Source organism: Homo sapiens, chromosome 6, assembly GCF_000001405.40.
Source record: "Homo sapiens chromosome 6, GRCh38.p14 Primary Assembly".
Classification (NCBI taxonomy): Eukaryota; Metazoa; Chordata; class Mammalia; order Primates; family Hominidae; genus Homo; species Homo sapiens.
This window is the reverse complement of record NC_000006.12, coordinates 77,448,172-77,460,328: the sequence shown is the minus strand read 5'-3', so window position 1 is coordinate 77,460,328 and position 12,157 is coordinate 77,448,172. Positions and strand designations below refer to the sequence as shown.

The 12,157-nt window shown below is 36.3% G+C and overlaps 1 protein-coding gene across 1 annotated transcript in view; it reads right to left on the bottom strand.

Moving 5' to 3' along the window:
- The window catches only part of LOC105377864 (uncharacterized), an 82,536-nt gene that overhangs the window by 25,811 nt on the left and 44,568 nt on the right, over positions 1–12,157 (bottom strand). The window lies entirely within an intron of this gene.

The following is a 12,157-nucleotide window of genomic DNA, read 5'->3' as shown; positions in this document are numbered from 1 at the left end:
TGCAGACCTTCACCTTGAGTAATCACTCTTGAAAATATACTATTCAAAGATTCACACATAAGCTAACTAAAAAGGGGAGTTTTGATCAATATTTATACCTGTCACTGGTGTGAGAGAAAATTTTAGGCATTAGATTTGCCTATACTTCTGCTGGATCCCAAGTTTCTTTGTTTGCTTTTTGTGATATTTCTCCTATGGAGGAATGTGCATAGAGCGTGGTGTTTGTTTTTATGTTATTAATACTGTGGTCTTCTGTTTATACAGTTGTATTTTCTTTGGTCCTAAGAGGCAATTAAGTCAACTTCTAAGAGCCTTAGGGGGAAACATTAATTGAAACAAATAGCCACTTTCAAATGATTTCTTTATAGGGTACCTGCAATGATGGTGTCCTCACATTAACAAAACACAATCAGTTTAGTCGAATGGGTTGTTTGCCATTTTGTAGATTAACCACCTAAATTATTGCTTGACTATTTGGCTGTATTGCCTGGATTTGGGGCATATTGTATGAAATAGAAGCTTGCAAACCCTTATAGTTATAAGAGATATAGAATCATCATTCAGCATTGCACATGATTATGCAAAGTGTAGTATTCATCCCAGGGGTATGTAGTTAAGACTGTTAAGCTCCTTTTCAGTTACTGTTGCCTATAGCATAGTTTATTTCATAAACTAGGCACATGGCTTTTTTGCAGAACATGAAGCGGGAGATGGAAATGTTTAACTTACATAGCAATGGAAATATATTTTCATTGGCTGTGGTAATAAACAACATTTTCCATATTGTTTAATTGCACAAATTTTCACAGAAATATATGAATGTATACTCACTCAATATTACCAGTATTGTCTTGTGTTTCTAGGAATTTTAGAGTTTCCTTTTAAAAATGGACACTACACCCATGAATGAATGTTTATTGAGTTCAACAAATTTTCTAAAGAACAATATTCTTAACTTTTCCTCTCTATTATCTTAGTTTTGTCTTCTTTAACCAGGAAACCCTGAGAAGATTATAATTCACTGAAGCAGTAAAATATCAGATTATGTGTATTTGATGGAGTTGCTGTGACTGAAAATTGCCTTTGGTATTCCATCTTTCAGGAAATGTATCATTGGAAATGAAATTTAGGAAAATAAATAAAAGTCCTTTTGTGTTCTAAAAAGCGTCGGGTAGTAGTTCTATTATTATGGAAAGATTGGTTCCTTGGATTCTGGGGTTGTGTTTAGGAGTTTGACCCTTCATGAGAGAATGACTAATAGTAAATGATACTGTGGCTGCCTGATATGTGCTGCCATGACTTGGGGGATTTAGTTTATATCTGAAGGAAGAATTTGAAAGGAAAGAAATGGGTTGTGCTTTCCTATTCTGCAAAGAGAGAGGGTTAGATCCACTATCACAAGAGTTTTCCAGATTAGTTTTTAGAGGGGACCTTTAGTCTCTAGGCTAGGTAGTGAGATTCCAAGGACTGTATGGTGCTTAAAATACAGGAGGAACTGGGTTAGAAGAAGACTTAAGAGGAGTAGACTGACCTATCTTAAGACCAGTGAAGTAGGCAGAAAGGTAGCTTTTGTAGTCAGTCCTAGGTTTGAATTGCAAATAAAGTATGTTAGAAATATGTGGTTCTTTTTCTCAAATACTGTCTACTTACAAGTTGATGTGAAGGCCTAGAACCTATACATGTAAAGCACTTATTGAGATGCCTGACACTTTTTTGGCTCTCAGCAGACAGGACTTCCTCTTAGCCATTATTTCCCATTGTCTCCTTTGTGGATGCAGAGTGCCTGTAGCACAGAACAGGGGTACTTGGGAGAAGTTGGACTGGAGAAGATCAAACTAGCCTGAATGGGAAAAACTTGGCAAAAACTAGAAGCGACTGAGCTTTACAGCCTTTTACAACTAATCCCCTATGCAGGTGACATACACCCCAAAGAACAAAAGGGAACATGAAGGATGGTTTGCGGTGGCTCTATCGGCCAAGAAGAAATTGCCAAATGTTTAATTATTTCTTATAGCGTCCTTTTATTCACTTTTAAACCCTCTTCCTCTTCCTTGTCTAGAGATTTCTGGCTGTCTTTCTAGAATCCAAAGTCCCTGGCCACATCCACATTTTTAATTTGCAGCACCTCATTTTTCACTTCTCTACTTTTTTCTTACCTGTATCAAATCATGATAACCAATAATGATGTTTATGGTTCTTGTTTTAACTGTGAAGGGCTGATTAAGTAATTAAGGGTTTTCACATTATCTAAAAGGGAATTGTTGAACCAAAGGAATGTGTAATTGGTGGGGATAAAGGCTTTCAACTGGGGCATCTACTCGAGGTAGAGAAAGGGTGGGAGAAGGGAAGTCTGCACTGTTAATCGAAACCCACCCTGGAACAATCCACCAGGGGGCAGAGTGTCTCTGAGATGTTTAGCAGAAGCAGGCGCAGACCATTCAGGATCTCTAAATCCCTCTTCCAGGACATTTTGCAACTGATACTAACGCCTCTAGACTCAGTGAAAACAAAGTTCCATGAGTCAAGGGAGAGGAGGTTTATCGCTGATTAGAAATAGCAGATTTTTCAGAGCTGTAAATTCAGGCAGAGAGTCTCCAAATCAAACCTAAAGTTTTTCTTCATATATGCAAACTCAGTTTTTTAAATTCATCTCTAGTCCTGATATAATGCTAAAATCTTAGCATTTTAAAACATTGTGACCTTTTATTAATGTGGCACTGAGCGAATCAGAAGTTAGGAGACAATGTACCTATTTCAAAATAAAAGGAGCTAATTATTTACATAAACATGTTTAACCATTATGATTTTTCTCATCACTGTGTTTTTCTTTTCAAAAATTGTTTTGATTTAAGGTTGATATATCCATAGTTCAAAGGTAGAACACTTGCCATTTATGATTGAAAGAAATGTCTGTTTTTTTTTTTTTTTGTTTGTTTTTTTTGCACAGAAGTAAGGTTTATTTATATGTCAGTTTTTCCCAAAAGACAGACCCTGAAGTCTGTGTAATTTTGACATTTTAAAAACAGGCATATAGAAATGTGAGTACAATCTTATGTTTCACAAAAATAAATTTCAGCATCAGAAAATGGATCACATAAAACGAGAAAACGAGTGAGATTATATCATTGCCATTCTCCTATAACGTAACTGTTACTCTAGCATTTTCATTATCCCCAATGGGGAGTTTTCTATGTGCCATTTCATACATCTGTCAGTTAAATCAGAATTTTAAAGTCAACACTCATATCTTAGGATTATACTAGGATTTTCAGTGCTCCCTGAGGGAGAGCTAGTCCCTGGAATTGAGCCATCTGTCAAAGAGAGTAACTTAACACTATTCCGAGTATAATTTGTAAAAGAAAATGTCCACTTCTTTTTACTTATTTGTATATATCTCAAAAGATCAGAGAAATCCTTTTCAAAACTACTAAATGAAAATCCATATGACAAGAATGGTCTTATAATATTTCCTGTACCAAAAGTGAACAGATGGTGATGAGGGGATCCATTTATGGTAAATGCTTTAAAAATCTACACAAGCCTTGCTTAAATGATGTAAGAAGGCATGACTCACATCCTCTCTGACTCTGTGGGAACATTCCACCCATCGGCCTCTGGCTGGTCATCCTATGTAGGGAGAACCAGATTTCAGGATATCTCCTGCTTACAAGTATGGTGACCATATGTGGTGATGGGACAGTAGTGATAGAGCAGTCCACAAAGGTTAGGTTCCTTGGCCTGAGAGCTGTGCCCACAGTACTATTGTAAACACTCTTGCATGTCTCTTCTAAGCCCATTTGCTTAATTCAGTTTGTGACAGAGTCTGTTGACATGCAGATCCCCCTGTGGTTCATCAGTCCATTTGCTCATTTATAATCGCAATTGGCTCAGGAGAGGGGCTGATCTGATTTTCTGGAGAAACAGTTTCACCACTCTTCATCTTTCCATCCCAGTCTTGCCTAGCCTTAAGGTTCTTGATGTTCACTCTTCTGCCCTGCCCCTCTAGGCTTTCCCATACAATGCTGCATGTTGGGGTAATCACACAATGGGAAGTTGGGAAGTAGCTACTGGTCTAAAACCCTCCAACATATTGATGGGTATAAAACGCAAGAGAAAATCTTTGAAGTCAGACAGACCCAACTTTAAATCTAGGTTTTGCTATCATGAGCAAGTTCCTCTGTGATGTAATAATGCACACCTTGATGTTTGAAGTTAAGAATTAAGTAAGATAATGTAATTGTTTTCAACCTTGGTGTCACATTTGATTTATCAGGGGAGATTTTAAAAAAAACTTGCTCAGACCCTGTATGAGATGAATTACATTACATTATTTACAGTAGGGTCTCATATTCTTATTTTAAAACTTCTCCCTAGGTAAAGCTCTTAGTATAATACTTACCTCAAACAGGATGTATAGGTGTGAAGGGGGACCTTGAATGAAATGGGAAGTCAAATAGTTTTGGTTTTTCACAATGGGGCTTCTCAAAATTTACAATGGGCCCATAAGTCACCTGAGAAGTTTGTTACAATGCAGATTCCAATTCAGTAACTGGTCTGTGATGGGGCCTGGTATTCTGCATTCCTAATAGGCTCCAGCAGATGCTGATGATGGTGGTCAATGGATCACACTTTGATTAATAAGGATCTACAGGAAAATATATCTTAGTTATGCAGCATTGGTCATTGACTATATATATATCTCAACCAAAACAAAAACAACACATAACTTGCAGATGAAAAAATTGTGCTTTTTAATGTACAAAGGTTGTGTTTTCTCAGCTTGTTTACATGGTATTCATATCTCAGTTTCAGCAGCTGTTAAATGTTTCTCCTTAAATGCTTTCTCCCAGATGCTTTAAATCCTCAATCTACCCTAAAACAAACTATTCACTTCTGGGTCTGAATCAGCAAAGCATGACCCTCACATTCAGGCCTCTGTTTTTACATAATTTCTAACTAAGGACTTTGCCTTTTGTTAAAAAAAGGAAATTCATTTAAAAATGAAAGCAAATGATAAAACAACAAAGAAATAACAATTGCTAACATATGGCAAAAGGCACAACTTCTTTGGTGCTCTATTTCACTTAATAAACCCACTAGGCTTCCTTTTGTTAATACATATGCATGCATACTCCCACATACACATTTATATGTTATATAGATATTTATGTTTTGTGAACAAAAGCAACAATTTAATCAAAGCTGCAAGAGGTGTGCTTTCATCCATTAATTTTATTATTACTGTCTTTTAGAGACGTAATACTCAGAGCAGTGATCCAGCAACTTTTTGATTTTATAGAAAGCCCCTCCTCATTTTAAATCTCCAAAATATTTTGTGAGTATTTTTCATGGAAAGTAATTTAAACTATTTAATGGGAAATGTTTGTCAACTTCTTGGCATCTGCCCATAAAACCAAAAACTGTTGTTTCCTAAGCCTAGGTTGGGAATAAAGAATCAAAGGATCTCACTTCAGAAAAGATCCATTATTTTATTTTATTTTTACTTGTGTTTGAAGTTGTGGCCAAGTAGGTCTTTATTCAGCGTTACAAAACAAAGTTAAAGGTCTTTCATCTCTTCCGTGAACAATTATGATGCTTCAAGTTTGATTCCAGAAAAGACACATTGCTGGAAATTCAACTGTTTTATTTCAAAGGAGCAGCAGCTGGGGATGGAACTGGCATGACTGAGCACTTACTGTGTGTCACATACTTAAATATCCACCCACCCCATTTAATCATCGTAACACTATCAGGGGGCAGGTATTATATTAGCATCCTCACCAATCAGGTAGTATGACAATTTGATCCAGTTTTTCAGGTTACAGAGTTATGATGACAGCCCCATTTGAATACTTTGTATTCAGATTTTAAAAGGAAACTACATTATTATGTCTGTTTCACTCAGTCTTTGAGAATAGTGGTTTTTTTAAAAATGCTATTCTGAAGCATTAAAGTAGAATAGAACTTTAGGGATATATTTCTAAGTACAACGTTGTATCTAGGGAACATGAGTTTCCTCTTGGGCTGCTCCCAAACATCTCCCCCTCCCTGTCTGACTCCAACCCTAACCAACCAGGGCACATACCTTGCCTCCTGACCTCTTCTAGGGAAGTTGGTATGTATAAAAATATAGATTTTAACTCCTGGATATGGTACTATTAAATATAGATGCTTTTGCTATGATGAGTAATGCATGACAGGAGGAGGCGTTTACCATTTATAGAACGTTAGTTCGAGATTTATATCCCGTTTTTACATGGAGTCAAATTTCTGGGTGAAAAGTAAACTCAGGCAAATAGCAAAATGTTTTCAAATGTTACGGTTGTTTTTGCATTACATAAATAAAACTTCTAAATTAATGTCTTTATCTTTTTTTATAATCATATTCCTTATTAGCAGAGTCCCTCCTGCTAAGAGCTTTAAATTGCTTTCCTCTCCCCTCATAATCCACCCCCAAACCCCAAAACAACACCATAAACAACAAAACAAATAAATCTCAGGGATAGAAACTTACCAGTATTCACAAAACTACAAAACTGACTTAAAACCCAAATATTTAGACTAGTTGTAAAAGAAATTAAGGAGCAAACATTATAATAGCGAGTGTGCAAAGTTGTAGACTCGCCTTTGGGAGAAAATTTTACTCGAAATACTTTTTGTCCTATGTCTTTGATTATTTTCATTCATTTTTAGGTGGAACAAAAAAATACACAGAAATTTTAGTAAATTTGGAAATAGAATTAAAGCCCAGGCTGACCTGGATTCAAATTCTAGATTTGTCACTTACCCGTTGTGTGACCTTAACCTCAGTAAGCATTAGTTTCTTTATCTGTTAATGTGGGGAAAATAGTGCCTTATCCATAAGCTTATTAAGAGGATTAAACAAGCTACTGTGCGGTAGGCTGAGGCAGGAGAATCGCTTGAAACCAGAAGGTGGAGGTTGCAGTGAGCCAAGATTGCACCACTGCACTCCAGCCTGGGTGACAGAGCGAGACTCCGTCTCAAAACAAAACAAAACAAAACAAGCTACTGTGTGGCATTTCTTAGTCTAAATAGTCTCTAAACATTATAGGTGTTTACCAGATACTGGCTTCATTCTGTTCAGACAAAATAAGCCAGGTGTCTATCCAAAGATTATGAAATTTGGAGTCAGCACAGCTGTTTAAAATGTTGGGTTTTTTTCTTACCAGTATGTGATTTCAGAAAAAGTATTTAATCTCTGTTAAGTCTCAGTTTTCCTGTCTCTAAAATAAGACTAATATGATCTATCTTGAAAGAATAAGGGGATTATATTATTATTATATAGTAAGCGTAGACACCTGAGACAGTTCTTGCAGCAAGGCAATTGCTCAGTAGACCTTAGTTTTCTTCTTTTTCAACTTTCTTTCCCATCTTTGGAAGTTAAGGCCTGATATCGTATTCTATGCTTCAATGTTGGTTAAAATTCCATTTATTATTGAAAGTGAGATCTGTGTAACTTTGTGAGATTGGAACCAGTTTTACTGATACTGTTTGGAAATTGCTTATATGCCGTGATTCAAGGGGTGCTAGAAAAATTACCCCATTTCCTGCCTAATATGTATTAATTAGAATCATCGTTTTGAATATTTTAAATCACAAATACATTTTGAGGTTTTAGCACATTATCCATTTACACCTTATTGTGAATTAGTTTGTTCATGCTATAGATTACTTGAGAACATTAAAATAATGTTTACTCATAGGCTGGGTGTGGTGACTCACGCCTGTAATCCCAGCACTTTGGGAGGCTGAGGCAGGCGATCACTTGAGGCCAGGAGTTCGAGACCAACCTGGCCAACATAAGGTCTCTACTGAAAATACAAAAATTAGCTGGATATAGCACGCCTATAATTCCAGCTACTTGGGTGACTGAGGCATGAGAATCACTTGAACCCAGGAGGCTGAGGATGCCGGGAGCTGAGATCACACCACTGCACTCCAGCCTGGACAATAGAGTAAGACTGTCTCAAAATAAATAAACAAATAAATAAATAAAAATAACATATTTATGCAGAACACTAAAACAGTGTGGGGTTTGTATATAAAAAGATAAGGTAGGACTTATTTTGAGCTACAACATATTTCTAGATAGGCAAAAATGAGTAGTTTGTCATACAGCCATGTGAGGGACCTGGAGAAAGAATGAAATTTAAGAGGCTATTGAAAAAAAACTTAGCCCCTTTGTAGTTTATTTGGTAAATGTATGCTTGTATGTTATACTGTCTGTTTCTGTAAGATTTTTAATATTTTTTAGATACTATGAGCATTCAAGTCTTCAGGGAGAAAAATTAATTTGGGATGGTAAATATGTCACTACACTCAGCTAGAAAAATAGAACCCAGCACATATAATCTGTCCTGCTGTGTTTCTTAATGATCACTGTGGATTTTACCATGTTAAAGGTGGCTGTCCACTGTGAACTTCTAACAGGGAAGCGTCTGACAGAAACATGGCGGTGTGCTTTCCTGACCTCGTATAGAAGCGGTCTCAGGTACCACAAGTGCATACGGAGTAGATATTTGTCCACAATAACCCAAACACTGTCCAGAAGCAGTGAAATAATTTTAAAGGTCACTTAGTCTGCATTTAATCAAGTCTGTTTTCATTTTTGACTGCTTGAGTTACTCAGTGGTATTCATAAAACACAGATATTTGCTATAGCAACTGCTGCAGGCTAACACCATAGGGCAGATAGACTGGGAAGATTATTTTCATTCCACAAAGGAGATACACCTGCCTTTATGAAATGATGTCTATGACCTATTTTAGATCAAAAGTAGAACAAAAATAAGAGTTTAAACACTGCATTATATAACATTTTAATTTTCTTATTTATTTTATTTAAATCTGACCGTTCCTGCAAAGAACAATAATAAGTATACTGGGTAAGTATAAAACTAAAGTACACCAAGGTGATTATCCACTTCAACTCCCTCTCCCAGCACACACAAAAAACATGTTGTTTACTTTTATATAAATAATGGATGCATCTCTACATTTTTCTTGTTTCTTTGCATATTCAATTTTGAAGGTGATCAAATCATTTCCTATAGAAAATTAATTGAGCAACTTGATTAGCATACACAGAGGTTTCTCAAGCTCAGCACTATTGACATTTTGGTCAGAGAATTCTTTGTTGTGGAGGCTTATTCTGTATAAGATGTTTAACAGCATTTCTGTTCTCTACTCTCTAGATGTCAGTAGTGACTCCTCTCTCCAGCAGAAAACCAAATATATTTCACAACATTGACATTATTTGTGTCTATGTGCATTTACATATTTTTCTTGGATAGGAGGATTTTTAATTTGTAGTAAAATACAAATAACATAAAGTTTATCATTTTAATAATTTCTAAATATAATGGACAAACCTTTTATTAGATTCTTTATGAGGCCTCTTGTCCAAAAAATGTTAAAAAATTATTGTTAATAGAGAGCACCAAAATGTAGGGTAATTGAACAATGTTGTTGAATGCCAAAACCTACTCCTAATCATGTAGGTCCCAGTTTACTTGCCTCCACCTCTGGAAAACCCTTTCTGATTTTCCATATTGAGATATTTGGTTCCTCTTATATGCTGCTTTTGCAGTCTTTCTCCCATATACCATGTGGGCTGTGATGCTAAAGGCCTACAAATGAGTTTTTAAGAGAATTCAATAGTATCTTAGCACAAAATAAAGGAGAACTTAGCCTGCAAGTTCTCCCTTTCTAAGTGGTTCTAGTGTTATTTGCCACTGCATTGCAGGGCCTGGCAGAGTGCCTCATACTTTGTAGGAGATCCATACGTGTTCAGTACATTAATGTGGGAATGAATGAGTGAACATTTTATCTTGCATAATAATTTTCAATAAAATATTTTTCAATCATATGGTTTCCTAAAATTCTTTTAGTTAAAAGTATACAAGTGAAAACAATGTGTTACCATAAAAGAGAAACTATTTGCTTCTAATCAGGTATTACAAGATGTTGAATCATCAGAAAAGACTAAATGATTTTACTTAGGGAGAACAGTGCACTAATACATTCTAAGAAGATTTTCAGTAAGTAGCAAGTGTCACAATTGAGGATCATGATACTTTAGAGCCAAATATGTCTCACTTAGCAACAGAAAGCAAAGTTAAAAGGACAGCCTCATTTTCTAAGCTTTCAGACAATTGCGGTCTTATTGTCATTAAATGTTTTAAATACAAATTTTCATACATTGGTCTCTCATGGGATCACGTTTTTAGTCATAGAAATGTAGGGTTATTGAACCCTACAGTAGTCATAGAAATGCCTTCTGTACTTCTACAAAGGGTGTCAAGGGAAGATTTTCTAAAGGGATGAGACTTTGGTGAACTCATTGAGTATGGAGGGAAGCCTAAAGCAGTCAGGAGGGATGCTTGGCCGGCTCTGGGGTCCGGGCCGGGAGCGCAGTGCCTGCCAGAAGGAAGGCATTTTTCTGTTTCTTGGCTGTTCTATGATTCACTCTGAGTGACACACAGTGTGGTGAAAAGTTTAGTGGGGAAGAGCTGGTGGGGATGCACGCATGTGGGTGGTGGGTTCATAGGTCCATGGATAGAAGCAGTAAAATCCAACAGGCATAAGACCTCACTCTGGCCCAATGATGGTGGTCTGTGATTCCTGTTCTACTCAATCAAGACTTTACATACTCAGATTTGAGTGACAAACATAACTACACTAAATGTCTTCCTTTACTTGTTTGCAAAATAATTAATATTTGAATTAGAATACAAAAGGATTCTTATTGGGCACATATGTTTCAACAAAGGCCTAACTTCCAAGTAAAGTTAGACTAATTTTTTTTCAAACAATTTTGGCATTTATACAACAACAAACAACGAAAGCATAAGATTTTGGTAGCCTGAATAATTAATTTAGATTTGCAGTTTACATTGATTGATTGATTTCACTGGATAAGTGCACATTTCTATTCTTTCTGCTCTTGTGAACCCACAGCATTAAACCTTTGAACAAATGTTAAATGTTGGGAAATTTTTGTTTATTATGTAATTCAACAGCCAGCATTAGAGCTGCTTATTAGGTGATTGCAAGATGCAAAGAAGAAGAAAATTACCATTTTCTTGGGCTGACTGGTACACACAATTGGATCAATTAGTTCTGGCTTTTAATTATGCAGAAATATGAAGTGCCATGCAAGTACTAAACTGGAGAATTTTTTTAAGGGAAAACAAAAGACAAGGAAAAAAGGAGAAAGATTGTGACAGAAGATTAGGTTTATTGTGACAGGCCTTATTGCTCCAATATCAAGTTATTTTCTTGGGCTGAGTGGAGAGAAGGCAAAGCAAGTACAGGAAAGAAAAGGAAAGAACTAATAGGAAAAACAGTACAACGGCAACAGCAATATTTCTGATCATTTATCATTGACACTCCCAAATGAGTGTTTGAGAATTAAATTATCTTGTCATTTCCCTAAGGATTGAGGTCATGAGTAATGAAAGAAGGAGCCAAACTCACACCCCTTCCCTGTAAAACTGACATCTATCTATGCAAGTGAATTTCATATAATGACTGGTTCTAATGAATTACTGGATTGCTTCACTACTTCTGAAGCTCCTTGTCATGTATATTGGTTCTCACTGAAAACGTCAGATGATAATGCTGCCTGGAGTCTCTGGTGTCGAAAACAGCTTTGTATAATATGCATGCCATTTCTATTACATGGCTACCCAAATGAAAAATTTTATTTGATAAACAGTGGATTTATTTTCGTACTAGGAGACATTTTTCTTCTTTTGGATTTATAGATATATAAAAAATCTCAAATCCTCTGTTCCAAAACAAGTGCCAGCATTTACTCAATGCTTAATGCAGCATCAGACCAATATTCTTCTATGCCTCATCTCCTTGAACCTTCTCAACAACATGTAGATAGTACTACTATGCTCATTGACAGTCCTATCTCCAGCTAGGCCTTCTTGTGCACCCTCTCCCAAGACACATTAAACAAACTAGCCCTTTGAATATTTGTGCCATTTCCCAGCTCCACATACCTGCTACTCCTTCTATTGCAATTGGACCTGAGAATGAGGAGTCATCTTCTGAGATGCAGCTCAAATTACAACTCTTCTTGACTTTCCTAGGCAGGGTTGGCCCCTGATTCCCTTTGTTCTTA